This window comes from Homo sapiens, chromosome 3 (genome assembly GCF_000001405.40).
Source record: "Homo sapiens chromosome 3, GRCh38.p14 Primary Assembly".
Taxonomy (NCBI): domain Eukaryota; kingdom Metazoa; phylum Chordata; class Mammalia; order Primates; family Hominidae; genus Homo; species Homo sapiens.
In genome coordinates this window covers 190150818-190170214 of record NC_000003.12, presented here as the reverse complement: position 1 = coordinate 190170214, position 19397 = coordinate 190150818, and the positions used below count along the sequence as shown (strand labels likewise).

The window sequence follows — 19397 nt, the reverse complement described above, 5'->3', positions numbered from 1 at the left end:
ATATGGGGTAATTGAACATTTAGTCCTAGTTAATAAAGACATAATTGCTACTTTGCTCTCTAGAAATTAGGAGTATAATTGTTCACAATAGTCACTTACAATCCTTTGTGTTTCTGAGGTATCAGTTGTATCATCTTCTCTTTCATTTTCGGTTTCATTTATTCGAGGCTTCTCTCTTCTTTCTTGGTTAGTCTAGCTAAAGGTTTGATAATGTTGTTAATTTTAAAAGAAACCAACTCAGTTTTGTTGATTTCTAAATTGCTTTTGAAGATGCCAGTAAAGGACTTTTCCTGCATGTTTGTTTGTTGCATTTGAATTACACAATATACAGAGTAAAGTATACAACAAATAAAGCCCCCAGCATTAAACAAACAAACAAAACACAATAGGAGCATCACACATTTCCTCTAAATTCACATTACAAAAGCAAATTACATAGATAATGAAGTAGGGAATAAGCCATGGTGTATTTTCTTCTTCCTTAAAGAAAGTCACAACAGTTATTAATATTCATTCTCTTGTGAAGTTCATTGTTCTTATTTCCATTTTCAAAGGGGAAGTTCTGTTCAGGAGGACACCCAAAATTATACCATTATGTGGCAGCATCAGCAGCACCCTCAGAACTTGGGGAAAAAAACAAGTAACTTGTTCTTTGTATAAAGTTGTTGCTCCATTACCAGGCCTCCTGCACGTGCCTCATCCAGTGAGGTTCTGAGGTCAATAGTATCACAGGTCAGCAGGGCCCGGGCACTTCTAAGTAGGAAGGCATGACAGTATGAGAGAAGTTTCAGATGAACTAGAAGTTGCCCAGAAGAAACTAAAGCTCAGTTATGATAGCTTCATCTTGCTCAATTGTTATTTTTCAGTGCTGCTTCAACTCTTAAGCTCCAAAAAGCCAAGGAGTAGAAAAATGACTCGCATCTCTAGGATTTGAGATTCCAATATTTCATTCACTCGGCAGATGGATAATGCAACTGCTAGGTGTGAGGCTTTTCGCCTACCCTGTCTTTGAGAGTTGGCCCGATGGCTTTAGTAAGAATAAGCTGGGAGCTGTAGGATAAACATTTGCTTAACCTTATTTAACATTTTCCTTTTTTAAACTGTAGATTCAGGTCCAACTACGCAATTACACAATTCTATGTATGTTTTTTATTCTGCAGTTCAAATCCTTCATCTGGGGTGGTATAGGTATGAAATAGAAATTTAAAAAAGCAAATTATTCTATTTTCATTAGAAATTTAATTTTAGTCCTGTTTCTATCACAGAACTATTTTCACAAACCCTAAAACTATTTTACAAAAAGCTATTTCTAGTCTTTCATTTTACCAGTTGGTAGAACTTCTACAAAATTTTAACCAGTTTTTATCATAAAGCTATGACTAGTTATTTGAGAGTACTACTTTTAGCTAAACTTCATATAAAAGGACAAGAAGAGGAAAAGTATAAGAAAACAGACCCCCTTTCTGCTTAAATTCACAAATGGCAGATTCACAGTGGGCTGGAACAGAGAAAGAGCAGGGCTTTTCAGAAACTCCAGAGTTTTTTTTTTAAGATGAGCTCTCCTTGTTTGTCCCAAGCTGGTCTCAAAGTCCTGGGTTCAAGCGACCCTCCTGCCACAGCATCGCAAGTAGATGGGATTACAGAGCATGTGCCACTGTGCCCCACTCAGATCTTTTGATTAAGCTATCAGTAAAGGCTGAGAACATTCAGACTTATAAATTCCTTGAATGAGACCCCTCATTATCTTTGGTTTTCTCATTTCAAAGCAGCATGATGTTATCTCTGAAGTTGTTCCTGAAGATAAAGAGGTGGCAGATGGCCAGGGCTAGAATATGATTTGCAAAAGGCTAAATGAATGTGTGTAACCTGTAAAGCAGCAGCTCTCTACCTCTGGTGGGCATCAGAAATACCTGCACACCTTTCTAAACATACACGGGCTTGGACCTCACTCCCTACCTCCAAAGGTGCAGCTCTAGGCAGATAAGTCTCGCCAAAGTTTATTTGGCCATTCTGATGTGTGAAACAGAAAACCAACTATTGGTGCAATGTTTCTGCCAGGCAAATTCACAATCATTGTTTTGCGTAACTGGAGACGATTTATCAATGGTGCACTTTACAAGATCACCACTGTAAGAGTTCCTTCCTTTGTCTACCCTGGCTCCTGATTATCCAGCAACAGGCATCCACACAATGTCAATTTCCTTCATAACCAAAGTTAGAATTTTAAATGAACTTTTGCTTTTCACACTCTGTTTCTTTTATGTGGTAGAGTTGAATGTACTTTTTTACTTATTTGTGGCTAGTTTCACTGAAAATTCTTCTGGTTTTAGTGTGCTGCTAATCTCTTGGTTTAAAGATAAAGAGATTTGTACATTCTAAAAAAACCAAAACATATGGAAAACATTCATCTTAGCAACTTCTAATAAAAATAAATCCTGATTTTAACTTACCACTGATTTTTACTAAACTTTTAAGCTTTATTTTATGCAACAGGATCACAATTTCTTTCCCCCGTTACTAACACCCAGATTGTTTCAAATCCCCAAAAGGGAAGTCCAAAACATCATGCTGTAGAATTCCTATGCCTTAGCTTCTGCAGTGTTTCTCTGCAAAGGGGCAGGATGATCCCAACATTCCTGTTTTCACTCTCGGAGCTGTACAAATTCTGCTTTTCAAGGTATTATTGGACAAGATCTGGTGCCAACTAGCAAATGCTCTGATCCCTTCTGAGGACTCTCCAGATTTTTGTCAATGAGATCTCAATAGTCATCCATTCATTCACCATGTGAATGTTGCTCTGATGTTTCAACAACACATCAGATTCATAGATGAATTTCTGAGCATCATTTCCAATTTAATCTGAATTTTCCATGATAATATATATCAAGTAATACATATGAGCTCATAATCTGCCACGATTTGGATGATATCTTCACTCATCCACAAACTGAGAACACCAAAGACTCCAGTAAATCTACCCCCACACAGCAGATGGACCTTTGGCGCACCTTTCATTTTTGGCTCTAGGGGATTCCTCTTGATCAGAATCTTGTCTTTGTTCAGTCCACTTCCTCTTTCGTCCAGGCCTTCCTAATGTAGGTGAGTTCTGCTGGTGATCACAGTTACTGGCCTTCAGTTTCTCTTGATGGTGCCTTAGCACCTTAACAGTCTCTATCCACTCCTTCTGAAGACTTTCCCATGTGTCAACTTCTACCCATTTGGAATTTTGGGTGGCAAGTTCTGCCGTGATGACCTGGTGATGGGCAGGAATGAGTCCTTTCTTCTTGTATGCATCGCCAACAGGAGAGATTATGCCTTTGACAACTCTATATCTTCCTGTTCCATTCATGTAATCCTTGGCCAGCTCAAACAACCTGAGGTGCTTGTTGGTGATAGAATTAAAGGAACCACAAGCACAGAGAGCCACTTCTGTCTTCTCTGAATTTTCCATGGCAAGAACTTAAAGTTGTCGCTCTAAATGGAATACTGTGACACCTCCCTTGCTGTTTTTACAAAGAAAATTCTTTGACTCTGAAGTGACTTGCAAGGGAGGCTATTGGAACCATTTCAACTAGCGTGGCAACAGTCTTCTCTAAGGTGGGCTAGGAAAATGGTTTTATATCCAAATTATAATTAACACCCTCACTGCCACCAGCCCGAGTGTTTCTGGAGACTAAATTGTTTTTCTAATCTCTATTTCATTTATTTCTGCTCTAATTTTTACTTCCTTCTTCTTGTCAATTTTAGATTCATATTTTCTCTATTTTTCTAGTTTCTTGAGGTATAAAGTAAGGTTGCTCCTTTCTTTCTTTCTTTCTACCTTTCTTTTTCATGATGTAGGCATTTATCACTGTAAATTTCCCCCATAGGGAATGAAGCTTTTTGCTGCACTCCATAAGTTTTGATGTGTTGTGAGTCCATTTTCATTGTCTTTTGATTTCTTCTCTGACCAGAAAAAGTAATTTGGTTATTGAGGAGTATGTTTAATTTCCACATATGTTTTAATTTTCCAAAGTTCCTCCTGTTATTGATTTTTAGTTTCATAACATTGTGGTTGGAAAAGATACTTGATATGATTTCAATCTTCCTAAATTTGTTAAGACTTGTTTTGTGGCCTAACATATTATCTATCCTGGAGAATATTCCATGTAAGCTTGAGAAGAATGTTTACTCTGCTGCTATTGGAAGTAATGTTTTGTATTTATCAGTTAGGACATTTGATCTATTGTGGTATTCAAGTCTGCTGTTTCCTTGCTGATTTTCTGAGTGAATAACTTATCCATTGTTGACAGCGGGGTACTGAAGTCTTCTACTATTGTATTGCTATCTACTTCTCCCTTAAGTTCTGTTAATATTTGATTTATGTATGTAGGTGCTCTGAAGTTGGATGCTTATATATTTACAATAGTTATATGCTCTTGATTAATTGACCTCTTTTTATAGTGACTTTCTTCATCTGTTTTGACTGAAAGTCTATTTTGTCTACTGTTAAGTACAGCCACTTCTGCTCTCTTTTGGTTGTCATTTGCATGGAATATCTTATGCCATCCCTTCACTTTCAGGCTATGTTTTTCCTTGAGGCTAAAGTGAGTCTCTTGCAGGAATTATATTGTTGTAAATTGCTATTTAATCCATTCAGCCACCCTAGGTCTTTTGATTGGAGAATTTAATTTACTTACATAAATAATTGAGTGTTTATGTTGGCACCACATATAATAAAAGTAGAATCATACAGAGATGATTACCATGACCCCTGTCAAAGAATAACATGCAATTATGTGAAGTAGTCCATATTTTTAAAGTGTAGAGTTTTTATTAGTTTTCTCTTTGAGTGTTTGCTAGTTGTTTGTTTATATAATCAGTGCTAGGTTTTCTTCACTTTAATATAATGAGTTATAGGATATTATCTGCAAGCCTCATGATAACCTCAAATCAAAAAAACAAAACAAAACAAAACACACAGAATATAAAAGGCAAGAAATTAAAACAAACCTACTGAGAAAATCATCTTCACTAAAGTGAAGACAGGAAGAAAAGAACAAAGGAAGAAAAGGCCATGAAACAGTAAAAAAAAAAAAAAAAAAAAATGGCAGGGGTCCTTAATTATCAATAATAACATTGAATATAAATGGAATAAACTCTCCAATTAAAAGGCATAGAGTGGCTGAATGGATTTAAAGAATAATAATCTGTGGCCTACAAGAAACACTCCCTACCTATAAAGACATACATAGACTGAAAATAAAGAGTTGGAAAAAAATATTCCACGCAAACAGAAATCAAGAAAGAGCAGGGGTAGCTATACTTAGACAAAATACATGTGAAAACAAAAAACTATTAAAAAAAAAAAGTCATTATATAATAACAAAGGGGTCAACTTAGCCACAGGATATAAGAATTATAAAAATATATGCACTCAACACGGGAGCATCCAGATATATAAAGCAAATATTATTAGAGCTAAAGAGAGGTATACCCCAATGCAATAATAGCTGGAGACTTCAACATTCCACTTTGAGCATTGAACAGATAATCTAGCCAGAAAATCAGCGAAGAAACATCAGACTTAATCTGCACTATAAACCAAATGGACCTGTGATGGTTAATACTGAATGTCAACTTGATTGGATTGAAAGATACAGAGTATTAATTCTGGGCCTGTCTGTGTGGGTGTTGCCGAAAGAGATTAACCTTTGAGTCAGTGAGCTGAGGAAGGCAGACCTGCCTTAATCTGTTGGGCATCATCTAATCAGCTTCCACTGAATATAAAGCAGGCATAAAAACGTGAAAAGATAAGACTGGCCTAGCCTCTCAGCCTACATCTTTCTCCCGTGCCGGATGCTTCCTGCCCTTGAATATCGGACTCCAAGTTCTTCAGTTTTGGGACTTGGACTGGCCCTCCTTGCTCCTCAAGCTTGCAGACAACCTATTGTGGGACCTTGTGATTGTGTAAGTTAATATTTAATAGGCCGGGCGCAGTGGCTCACGCCTATAATCCCAGCACTTTGGGAGGCCGAGGCAGGCAGATTACTTGAGGTCGGGAGCTCAAGAGCAGCCTGGCCAACGTGGTGAAACCCTGTCTCTACTAAAAATACAAAAATTAGCTGGGTGTGGTGGTGCATGCCTGTAATCTCGGCTACTCGAGAGGCTGAGGCAGGAGAATGGCTTGAACTTGGAAGGTAGTGGTTGCAGTGAGCCAAGAATGTGCCACTGCACTGCAGCCTGGGCAATAGAGCAAGACTCAAAAAAAAAACAAACAAACAAAAAAAAACACTTAATAAACTCATATATACTCATATATATATATCCTATTAGTTCTGTTTCTCTAGAGAACCCTTACTAATACGGGATATAATAGATATTTATAGATCATTTCATCCAATACTTGCAGAATACACATTCTTCTCAGCAGGTAGATCACTCTAAAGGAAAGACCGTACGTTAAGCCACAAAATGGGTCTTTAAAAATTAAAAAAACTTGAAATAATGTCAAGTATCTTCCCTGACTACAATGGAATAAAACAAGAGGAATTTTGGAAACTCTACAAATACACAGAAATTAAACAATATGCTCCTGAATGACCAGTGGGTCGATGAAGAAATTAAGAAGAAAATTTAAAAATTTCTTGAAACAAATGAAAATGGAACTACAACATATGAAAACCTATGGAATACAGTGAAAGCAATACTAAGAGGTCAATGCATAGCCATAAGCACCTACATCCAAAAATTAGAAAACTTCCAGCCGATAACTTAGTAATGCATGTAAAAGAACTAGAAAAGCCCCTTTCTCACACCATATATAAAAACCATCTTAACATGGATTAAAGACTTAAATGGGCCAGCTGGGGTGGCTCTTGCCTGTAATCCCAACACTTTGGGAGGTCGAGGCAGATGGATAACTTGAGGCCAGGAGTTCAAGACAAGCCTGACCAACATGGCAAAACCCTGTCTCTACTAAAAATACAAAGATTAGCTGGGTGTGGTGGTGCATGCCTGTAGTCCCAGTGACTCAGGAGGCTGAGGCAGAAGAATCACTTGAACCCAGGAGGTGGAGGTTGCAGTGAGCCAAGATCGCTCCACTGCACTCCAGCCTGGGCAACAGAGCAAGACTCCTTCTAAATAAATAAATAAATAAATAAATAAATAAATAAATAAATAAATAAATGCATGCTGGTGGTACTTTTCTCAGTACCACTCTCTTAATTTTTTTTTTTTTTTTTTGAGACAGAGTCTCGCTGTCCCTCAGGCTGGAGTGCAGTGGCATGATCTCAGCTCACTGTCATCTCCGCTTCCCGGGTTCAAGCAATTCTTGTGCCTCAGCCTCCTGAGTAGCTGGGATTACAGGTGTGCACAACCATGCCTGGCTAATTTTTATTTTTAGTAGTGGCAGGGTTTCACCGTGCTGGCCAGGCTGATCACGAACTCCTGACCTCAAGTGATCCTCCCGCCTCGGCTTCCCAAAGTGCTGAGATTACAGAAGTGAGTCACCATGCCCAGCCCCAACTCTCTTAAAGTTTGTTTATTTCCCCAAAAACAGATTGGATATCACTGCTTACTCAGAAAAAAAGCCAAGTCTATCGGGGAATCTGCCCCGATATTCACAGAAGTTCTTTTCTATTTTTCCTAAGCGTCGGCCGGCTTGAGAAATAAAGGGACAGAGTACAAAAGAGAGAAATTTTAAAGCTGGGCGTCCAAGGGAGACACCACATGTCGGTACGTTCCGTGATGCCCCACAAGCCACAAAAACCAGCAAGTTTTTATTAGGGATTTTCAAAAGGGGAGGGAGTGTGCGAATAGGTGTGGGTGACAGACATCAAGTACTTAACAGGGTAATAGAATATCACAAGGCAAGTGGAGGCAGGGCGAGATCACAGGACCACAGGACTGAGGCGAAATTAAAATTGCTAATGAAGTTTCAGGCACCATTGTCATTGATAACATCTTATCAGGAAACAGGGTTCTGAGATCAACCGGTCTGACTAAATTTATTAGGCGGGAATTTCCTCTTCCTAATAAGCCCGGGAGCACTATGGGAGACTGGAGTCTATTTCATTTCTGCAGTTTCGACCACAAGAGACAGGCGCACCTGGGGGGGCTGTTTATAAGCCTATACCTCCAGGCGCATATTCTCTTTCTCAGGGATGTTCCATGCTGAGAAAAAGAATTCAGCGATATTTCTCCCATTTGCTTTTGAAAGAAGAGAAAATATGGCTCTGTTCCACCTGGCTCACCGGCGGTCAGAGTTTAAGGTTATCTCTCTTATTCCCTGAACAATTGCTGTTATCCTGTTCTTTTTTCAAGGTGCCCACATTTCATATTCGAACACACATGCTGTACAATTTGTGCAGTTAATGCAATTATTACAGGGTCCTGAGGCGACATACATCCTCCTCAGCTGACAGGATTAAGAGATTAAAGTAAAGACAGGCATAGGAAATCACAAGGGTATTGATTGGGGAAGTGATAAGTGTCCATGAAATCTTTACAATTTATGTTTAGAGACTGCAGTAAAGACAGGCATAAGAAATTATAAAAGTATTAATTTGGGGAACTAATAAATGTCCATAAAATCTTCACAATCCACGTTCTTCTGCCGTGGCTTCAGCCGGTCCCTCCGTTTGGGGTCCCTAACTTCCCACAACACACGTTAATAATTTTTTTGAGAAAGATCTTTCCCTATGGAAATTTACATGTAAAGCAACTATGAAATGATGCCCCTATGAACTTAGAATCTTTTGCCTAACTGACAAGGCATTGAAAAACGAAAAAAAAAAAGGAAGCATATCAAAGCAGGAATAATGCACTCTGGTAATGCTGCTTCTAAGTTAAATAACATAAAGACTGGGAACTGATGACTGGATTTGGTTCATGAGGCTTGTTGGTAACTTTGGTAAGTGGATTCAGTGTAGAGTGGAAGGGATTCCTGATTAGAGTGTGTTTGGAGTTAACAGGAGGAAAAAGGTAAAGGTAGAATGTATGGACTACTTTCTGAAGAGCAGAAAACATCAAATCCATTAGGGTTTTTTAAAGGTAAAATATATTACAGCACGTTTATGTTGATAGAAATTATTTTAGAGGAAGTATAACATTTATGATGTAAGAATAAAGCCCTTGAGAAGATAATAACAAGTAGATTTCTTTCTTTTCTTTTTTCTTTCTTTCTTTTTTTTTGAGACAGAGTCTCACTCTGTTGCCCGGGCTGGAGTGCAGTAGTGCGATCTCAGGTCACTGCAGCCTTGCCTCTGGGGTTCAAGCACTTCTCCTGCCTCAGCCTCCTGAGTGGCTGGGACTACTGGCACATACCACCATGCCTGGTTAATTTTTGTATTTTTAGTAGAGATGAGGTTTCACTATGTTGGCCAGGCTGGTCTCGAACTCCTGACCTCAAGTGATCCAGCCACCTCAGCCTCCCAAAGTTATAGGAATACAGGCGTGAGCCACTGCACCCGGACAAGAAGTAGATTTCAGAACACAAGTGAAAATTCTGATCTTAATTCGGAAAAGGGATATAGCTCATCATTTTAACAGAAAGTACAGCACAGAATATGAATTCTGATGTAGCTCAGCTACAGTTTGCTGGAGGGAAGATGAGGAAACTCTCTTCTAATTACTTCTATTTTTTTCAGGTGAATCTGTAAAACAAAGTCCTGCGCTACCGGTGAGAAGGTAAGCAAGGTTTTCAGATATGGGAAAAATATTAAATAGATGTCTAAAGAGAGGAGAATATATTAAATCATGAGACCTCAGTGAATTGCTTAGTAGCCCTGAGGTTACATCTGAGGTTTGTGTTGTATATCTAACGTGAGTTGTAAATATAAAGTGAGCCCATGTTTTTCTTCAGCCATGTTTGTCTACTCAGGTGTGAACACAGCATAATAATAAAGTTATCTTTTTGTAAACGAGATGAATGGAAAGAGAAAGGTACAAAGCATAAGTGTGTGATGCATGACAGCAGTCATGGTGTAGTCAGATGAGGAGACCAGTAAATAAGAAAGTAGGCTCCCCATCCCACCTCCCACTTCTACCCCGTTCTCACCTACTATAACCTATTCACAACAATGTTATTCCTTGTCTTCAAAAGAAAACTGAAAGAAGAATGACTTGCAAAAATTCAGTTTTCAAGTTTGAAGTTGCTATTAATACTAAAACGCAATAGCACTTTTTTCTTGGTTGATTACTCTGAGTAGCATAGTAACATGAACTACTGTGTACTGAACATCTCTTTTACTTCAAGAGCTCTTACACAAACTTTATCCTTCAAGTGACGATGGTAACAATTTTGTAAGTGAGCACTTAGTCTCTGATTTTAGTTACAAATAAATTGAAGATCCTGTAAAGTAAATAATTCACCCCCGGTTTCACAGTTAATAAAAGACCTTTATCAAAATTTTCCACATTGCTTTCCATCTCCCAAGCATAGAGATGAAAGCCCTTGGCAAGAGTGAGAATGTGGATCTTGAAAAGACCTTTACATTATGCGTTCCAAATTATTTCTTTAAAGAGAAGCACAGACCTTACCTTGAATTCACTCACAAACCTCTGAGATGTAAGATGGGTAAGGCCTCCAACATCATCAAATTAGAGAAGATTATCTGATTGGACCAGATGTTAGAAACAGAACAAGAAACATAAAAATAGTACAAGGTAGTAGCCAAGCACCTAATTTGTCCCTGAAGGAATTCTACAGGAAGCCTCTGCCTTGAGCAGTGTAGAAAAAGCCAGGGAGAGTCACTGAGACTCAAGATCTCAGACCTTTAGGGTCAGCTGAGCTGCACTCGTCTTCATCTAATTGGGCCTTGAACTATTGCTCTTTCCCTGGTACTCTGAAGATCAGTGGCCATGTTTTAGATCATTATTCCCCTGAAAGGCTGGAAGGTAAATAGGCATGTTTTTCAGGCACATATTTTTCAGAATGGTGCTTCCTTTGCACGAATTAGTGGAAAGGATTTGAAAGACCACTGAATCAGCGTGATGAATAAAACTACTGAGTAATGTAGTTATCATATTCTCTGCTCCAAGGTCAAGATGCAGTCAGTTGAGAGAAATTAAAAAAAAAAAAATTTACTCTCAGATGAGGGCCCTGGATTCCTGAGAGGAGAAGCAAGTTTCTAAACTCTAACGGGATGAAAAGGTATTAGTAAAACTAACTTAAAGGCCTCTGACATTGAGACCAATGTTGTCTCCACAAGGTAGGGAGAGTGGGGTGAGAATGAGAGCAAAGAATAAACTCTGTCTCCATCCAGAATGTCACTCCAGCAAATATGTAGGTCACTCACACAAATGCTTTCAGGGTCTTTGGTGGTTTTTTGCAAATCCCTAATTTTCCTGTGGAGGAGCCAGTCTGCATTATTACTCCAGCCAAGGTGACCCGCCCTTTGGCAGGTTCAACAGACTCTTAAGCGTGTAGTTAAAAGGGGCTCTTGTTTACAGTACAACCATCCAAGAAAGCTGGTTTTGCTTCACAAACAAATGAACCTTCTTTGCCTGGGGAGTGTTGATTATGTATTTATTCTTTATATGAGTAATAGATGGTCAATAGAAAGCTTTCTCTATTGGGTAAAGAGCAGTTTTGTACCCAACTTTTCTGATTGTTTTGAGGCTAATATTAGCTTCTCTCCGAGGTTGCCACCAGCAACCATCAGGGTAATAATTCTAGTTCTGACCTTCAGTTCATTTCTGAAATGTTGAGGCTATATTTGTAGTATGTGATGTAGAAGTGACTCACTGGATATTGACCATCATCTAGTAATGAATGATGAGTCTCTCTTACCTAGATTCTTGTATTCCTTTCTCCAGATTCACATCAATTCAATCATCCTCCATATCAGCAACAGCATTATTTTATTGAGATGTACATCTGTACCCCAAACTCCTTAATATGACGTTCTGGGCTTTTTATTAACTATCCCCAATTTCCAGGTCTATTTTCTGTCATTTACCTTTATAATCCATACCCAATTTATAATGTATACCCAATTTATAATCCAATTGATAATCCAATCACACAATACATTGTGCTGTTATTTAAAATGTCTACTTGTTTTATATCTCTATGCCTTTATTCATGCTCTCCCCCATTCCCAAACATCCTACTCTTTCTGAATGGCCAATCTAAAATGTTTTTCTTCTTTGCAGTTTTTCTTGACTTCCCTTTTCTAACAAAAAGAAATATCTTCTTTATACGTGTTTTCATAAAAGTTTATACTTACTCTTGTAATTGCTTGTGTGTGTGTGTGTGTGTCTTTAGATATCAGTTGCTCCTTGGAAGCTTGGACTAAATGTTATCCTTGACATCGTTAATACCCTACACAGGGTTAGATACATTGAATTAGTACCATTTATTAAATATTATAAAGAGTACCATGTGATTTTTTTTCTGTTCTGTTTGTATATTTACTTTTGGTTGGTTTAAGACCAGCAAAAATACAAACACCTACAAGCCCACCATACTGAAATTATAAATGATAATATTATAAGAAATGTACTTCATGTTTTAAAAAATAAAATATTATACATACTGTTGTGTGATATCATCCCAAACCCCAATTCCCTCTTCTGAGGAAATTGTTCTTATTGATTTGGTGCATATGCAATCTATATTTTTATTCATTTTCTAAATACGTATGTACCTATAAATGAATTATATTACTATCATTATTTTTTAGAGTAAAGGTCATGCTATGTTGCCCCAGCTGGAGTGCGGTGGCTATTCGCTGGCATGATCATAACACACCACAGCATTGAACTCCTGGTCTCAAGTAGTTCTCCCAAATAGCTGGAAATACAGATTTGACATGCAGCCATGACACCCAGCTACTAATCTATATATTTGTGTATGTGTATATATAAATTTTGCCATACTGAATGTATCCTTTTTCTACTTGCTTTTTCACTTATTATCTATACATGTCAATTCTTATAGTTATTTATTTAACGGACATATGTATTCTCTTATTTAAATAAAACTCAGTAAATTTAGTTATTCTGTAACTAATATAACTATTTCTAATTTTTTGGTTTCCAATCAACATTTCAATGAGCATACTTGTAAATGCCTTCTTATGTACACATGTAAACATTTATCTAGAAGTTATACCTAGAAGTGAAATTGCTGGGTCATTTTCTGATTTAGTAAATGAGGCCATAATCCTCTTCGAGGGGATTTTATAAACTGGCAGTATATGAAATAGTTGTGTCTCCACGATCTTGACACAGTAGTATTTGCATAATGTTTTTGGAAGGGTCGATCTATGGCTGCTCATCTTTGGTTCTAATTTTCCTCCTAGCCCATAAGTACTAAATCCATGGATTTGGTCCCATTAGATTCCTCCTTGAGAACAATGTTTCTCTAGGTATGTCTTTTTCATTTGACTTAACTTTTTTTTTTTTTTTTTTTTTTTGAGATGGAGTCTTGCTCTGTCACCCAGGCTGGAGCGTAGTGGCGCCACCTCTGCTTACGGCAACCTCTGCCTCCCGGGTTCAAGCGATTCGCCTATCTCAGCCTCCCAAGCAGTTGGGATTACAGGCACCTGCACCACACCTGGCTATTTTTGTATTTTTTTAGTAGAGATGGGGTTTCACCATGTTGCCCAGGCTGGTCTCACACTCCTGACCTCAGGTGATCTGCCCACCTCAGCCCCCCGAAGTGCTAGGATTACAGGTGTGAGCAACAGCATCCTTCCTGACTTAATTTTTATTTTCCTTTTTTGGCTCATTGTCATTGGGGAAAACACTGGGAGGTTGTCTGCAGGCCCTTTATGCTACTAATCCTGAATTCTCTGCTTGTTGTGGTTGGTCATTGCATATAATACTTACAGTTCTGCTTTTTTCAAGTAGCCTGAGACCAAAGCACGACCAACAGCTGTACCTGGACTGGATCCTTTTCTTCTCTGCTAATATGTGACTAGATTATTCCTTGTGTTCTCCCTAGGACCTCATTTTCAGTTCCTACCAGGCTTTCCCTTCCCAACCAAGAACACTGTAGTATACTAGTTTAAATTCCTGCCAGGCCCTTTTCTGCACTAACAGGCCTCCAGCCTTCTCCCACTTCTGCATTTCCCTGATATTTCCAACAGCCTTTTCCTGACCATAATTTGACACTGCCACACCAATTAGCTGATTCATAATCTTTTCACTGTCTGTTCTTTGGAGACTCTGGACCATGGCCCAGGAACAACAAGATCCCCTTTGCTGCCTCCACCCACTTCTAGTCATCAACAGCAGCCATGGCACCTGGTGTATTCAGCCTACACAAGCTCTAGACAGAGTACGCACGTACTGGCAATTTTAAGCCCTGTGATTTCCAAGGGTGTTGGCCTTTTAACACCTGTATTAAAAATGTGGGTGGAGAGCACATACTGTGATTCATCTCAGACCAGGCACTCCCTAGAGACAATGAATACCTGTGATAGACACGTTTTCAGTTTCCCGCTACTCCCACAGCCCCTAGAAGGAGTCATCTTATATATTACATGCCTTATCTGGCCCTTGCCACCACCATTACAGATGGATAACTGATCAAACACACACAAAACATCATTGCGTTATGTGGCCTGGCTTTAAACGTTGATCTAGGCCATTGGGTTGCTGCCTTGTCTGAGCTGGGCATGGTGGCTCACGCCTGTAATCCCAGCACTTTGGGAGGCCGAGGCAGGCAGATCATGAGGTCAGGAGTTTGAGATCAGCCTGGCCAACATGGTGAAACCCCGTCTCTACTAAAAATACAAAAATTAGCTGGGCATAGTGGTGCCTGTAATCCCAGCTACTGGGGAGGCTGAGGCAGAAGAATCGCTTGAACCTAGGAGGTGGAGGTTGCAGTGAGCCGAAATTGGGCAACTGCACTCCAGCCTGGCGACAGAGCAAGACTCCATCTCAAAAAAAAAAAAAAAAAAAAAAAATTACCAATGGCCAAGCACCTCCCCTAAAGATAAAAAATTCATGTCCTGAAATGGGGTAAATCACAATATGTGTCCTCCCTCTGCCACACAATTTTAATAAGAGATGGCATTGCGAATTGAGAAAAGAAACAATCTGAAACATATAGCTCACTGAGTAAATTAACAGAACTTTAGAAAACTCTAGCCCAGGAAGAAGTTCCAACTGACTTTATTGTCTGTTTTAAGAACTTCCTCCAGAAACCATTTATCTGAACAACAGACTACTCCTCTAGCTCTCCTTACCTGTTCATAGGACAATAGGTCACTTTAGTGTCACTTTAGTGACAACTTTAGGCTCATCAAAAGACTGTTTACTCTTTAAGACTCTGAGAAACCCTCACTTTCTTGTGTTGACCAGCCATAAACTTTTCTTTCACTAACTTGTCCAATCCAAAGTTGATTCCAGCAGAAAGACTCACCTTAAAGTAGACCTCCAAATCCTCAAATTCATGCCTGAAATCCATCACATCCTTGTAAGATGCTACTGAGATGGTCAAGACATTGTACTCCCGTATTACAGCAAGCAATAAACTCTGATTTGCTTTATCAAGAGATTGTTTTGGTGACCAACAAGTTATCTTAATGGAATTTTCAGGGAGTGGGAAATAGAACCACTAATCTGGGCCAAGCTGATTGTCTTTCTGATCTAAGAGACCCAGAGACTGTCGCCAGTAGGTGCTGGATCTAAGAAATCATGATGTATAGCAAGGGATCACAGTCATACTGGATTAAGTACAAGATGAACATGCAGAGGAAGCTGGAGAGCAAAGAGAGGGGAATGGACAAACTCATGCAAGGAGAAGAAGCAATGGAAAAAATGGTGTGGCCTCGGAGAGTTAAACTCTTCCATACCTGGCATTCCAGCTCTGTTCTCTGTGAGGCCTGAGTATGGTACCTTATTTCCCAACTCAGAAATCCAGGCAAGTGCTGGTGGTATCATAAGGCAGAGAAACTCTGTTGTGTTTGGGGAATTTATATACTTAATGTATTTAAGCTGCTTTACCAAGAAGCCTAGTTGCCAACTGATCATGTATCAAGAAGGAAATAAATCACTCTACCTTTTCTCCAGCTAGAAAAGTGCAGCAGTTGTGTTTGTACGAATTTGACCCCCATCCGTTGGATGAGGGCGTAAAGTGTATTTTATGTTGCTAAGTCATGGAGTTCCATGTGATTGGGCCATTAAATTCTTTATGATTAGTCATTAAGCCCATGAAGGACAAGAAACTGAACAAGAGTTTTGAAGAAGAAAGCCTAAGGAAGATGCATCAGGAAAGCAGAAAGGGAGTGAGGATACATTATGGACACCATTCTTTAAAGGCGACCATTGATGATCTGCATCATATAAACCCGCAGTGTCTGAGGACCTTGACAAGGGCCATTCAAGGGCCCAGAGCTGTGTTCAATAGAACCGACTTAGTACCTTGGCCAGCTGCTAATTCCTTAGGAAAAGCTGCTTTTGTATGAAGAGGAACATTGTTCTGCATATACTTCAGAATTAAATATCTAGCCAAACTGTGAATGAATTAAATACATTCTCTATGCTTCAAGTTTTCATAGACCAAAATAAGTATGGCTTTACCTGGTGAATTAAGAGCTAATTCCCTCTAAGCTGGACTAGACAATATTAATATGTCCCAAATTGAGAACAGAAGACAGTAGGCCCACCCCCATCCAACCATGAAGACTATTATCCTTTATTTAAAATAGTTTCTGGTCTTTGCAAGAAAAAAATAGGGCAGGTAGAAACTTCTAAGGCATTTAATAAAAGTTGACTTTGTTGAGCTTCAAAATAACCCTGGAAAGTAAAAGTACTCATCTCCAATTTACCAATAGCTAAACAGAGGTACCATTTTATAACTAAAGCCGAGGTTGAATAACTTGCCCAAAGTTCAATAGCACATTGAAAGAAGAATGAGTCAGATCCAGGTCTTCATTCCCCATAGTGCCATCTAAACTTTTCCAGGACAGCTTATCTTATAGAACTGAAGTAGGCAGGAAAATGATGACATATCCAAAGGTCCAGCATAATTTCCACATCTGTTGCTAAAACTATGCTATGCAGAGGAATCCAAGGAGAATTATGACAGCTAAGTTAATTTTATTTTTCATGGCTCAAAAAAAAAAAAATTCCCGGCCGAGCACAGTGGCTCACGCCTGTAATCCTGGTACTTTGGGAGGCCAAGGCAGGAGGATCAACTGAGGTTGGGAGTTCGTGACCAGCCTGACCAACATGGACAAACCCCGTCTCTACTAAAAATACAAAATTAGCCAGGTGTGGTGGTGCATGCCTGTAATTCCAGCTACTTGGGAGGCTGAGGCAGGAAAATTGTTTGAACCCAGGAGGTGGAGGTTGTGATGAGCCAGGATCGTGCCATTGCACTCCAACCTGGGCAACAAGAGTGAAACTCTGTCTCAAAAAAAAAAAAAAAAGAAAAAAAAAATTCCCAATGCTTCAGATTTTATGTAACTAAACAAATGGAAGATTTTGACTTAAAAGGAGAAAACAAAGAAGGAAAAAACTTCACTATTATTTTCTCTTGATGATTACTAATGACTTTCATCTGCTACCTTCTGTAACTATTGAAAGTTTCCATTTGAAAAATAACTTAATAGTTTTTAAATGCCAAAGAAATCAATTTTCTTTCTGTATGGGTGCCTTTTAGTCCCAATCAATATCATATTATTTTTAAAGAATGTATTTACTACTAAAACATATAAATGAAAAGAAAAAATAATGTAATATTATATTTAACTTTATATAAATAAGAATTATTTCTAATTTTATTACATTTTTCAGTATTAATACTCGACAGTTTCATCATCTAGCTAATTTAATCAGTTATAAATATCTATTTTTTCTCTTTGAGGCCTAAAGAATGATGAACAGCTAGAATCATCTACAAGCAATAGGAAGCCATTGGCCATCATTTTTTAGAACAACATTCCGTCAGTAAATTACTCAAATGGAATAATTATAAAGATATTTGCTTTTTTTTCTTAACACAGCCCAGTACCACTAAACATCTAGCAGGATCCAATGCTTTCTTAGTTTGTTTTTGTTACAAATACTTATGGCTTTAATAGGAAAATATTGGCACAGCTATGTGTAAACTGTGCATATTTCTGTGCTTTTTGAAAGCTTTCAGAGATTTGTTTGCTTTGCAAGCTTTACTCATTCATTCATCTACCTCAGCAAAGTTGACCATCTATGGACACTCTTATTTTTTTTATTTTTTTGGAGACAGAGTCTTGCTCTGTCACCCAGGCTGGAGTGCAGTGGCATGATCTCAGCTCACTGCAACCTCCGCCTCCCGGGTTTAAGTGATTCTTCTGGCTCATCCTTATGGACACTCTTAAGCAAATTGATTTATCTGTTCTCGAGTGTCTAGCCATCTAATCAGACCTGTCCATTTGCTCACTCCTCAAACGTGATAAATGCTTGAGAAACAAAAATAAATAGATCACAGTTCCTGGCTTGAGAGGTTAAAGGGGGAAGACAGACAAATACACTCCAATGATTTGTAGGAATTTGATACATAAATTTTAAAAACAAAAAAGAACTCATCTAATATTCTTTGAGAACACTGAGGAGAGTATGCTTAACACTGAAAGGAAAAATTAAGAAAAGCTAATTAGGAAAATGTGAGTTGAGTTGATTTTTGAAAGATAACTCAATACAACTAATACTTACTGAGTTCTATGACAAGCCAGATATGTGTTCAGCCTCTACTGTTTTAATTCCTTTAATACTCGCAATAACCATCTGAATTAAGCACCATTAGTATCCTACAACCTCACTTAATCCTCATTTTAAGCGTGGGGAAATTGTAGAGTCATTAAAACATTGTGACTGTGACACTTGGTCAGGTAACACAGGAAATTAGAATGACATGTTTCCTATCTCATTTTTGACTGAGGGGCTGATAAAATAACATCAGTTACTCAAGCATAAATCAAACCCCTTCCCATCAATGCAGTTTTATACATAAAATGACGCCTAGTCTATAAGAGGGTATGGTCAGGGGATCTGCAGAGACTTCTTTTTGGGAATAGGTTGTTATGCTGTAAATCTCCGCCCTACCCATTTATGGTGGAAGGCTGTCAACCTCTCCCTTTAAATATAGCGAGAGAGGTTTCAAGGAAATAACTGAAAGACCTCAGAAATTTGCTTCCAGTAATCGGGAGATATAAAGCACTTTGCTTGCCTCGGTTTTGAGAAAGCTTTATCAAGTTGTAACTAGAAAATCTGAAGGGTAAAGCAGGCCTGGCTGTGGTGATAGAGCCTGGAGAAGGCTTCTGCATTGGAATCTGTCACCTCATACTAAGTAAGGTAGCTGAGGCTTTCCAAAGTCAGATAAAGGTCACATGAGAGAAAGCTCACAAAGGGCCTTCTTGCTCCTGTCTGATGGTGTTGCCTGGAGGGGCAAGGAGACCTCAGTGAAAAACCACTGGATATGT

General features: G+C 38.7%; 2 pseudogenes, besides 1 other annotated feature; one reads left to right on the top strand and one right to left on the bottom strand.

The window, feature by feature from the left end:
* Positions 3006–3507, bottom strand: NMNAT1P3 (NMNAT1 pseudogene 3; annotated as a pseudogene).
* Positions 4692–4798, top strand: RNU6-1109P (RNA, U6 small nuclear 1109, pseudogene; annotated as a pseudogene).
* Positions 7594–8305: an enhancer, noted in NCBI's record as "OCT4-NANOG hESC enhancer chr3:189879699-189880410 (GRCh37/hg19 assembly coordinates)". NCBI's record gives its function as "activates a minimal SCP1, AML or CMV promoter by ChIP-STARR-seq in naive H9 embryonic stem cells {active_cell/tissue: H9 hESC(naive)}" and the evidence as "EXISTENCE:reporter gene assay evidence [ECO:0000049][PMID:30033119]".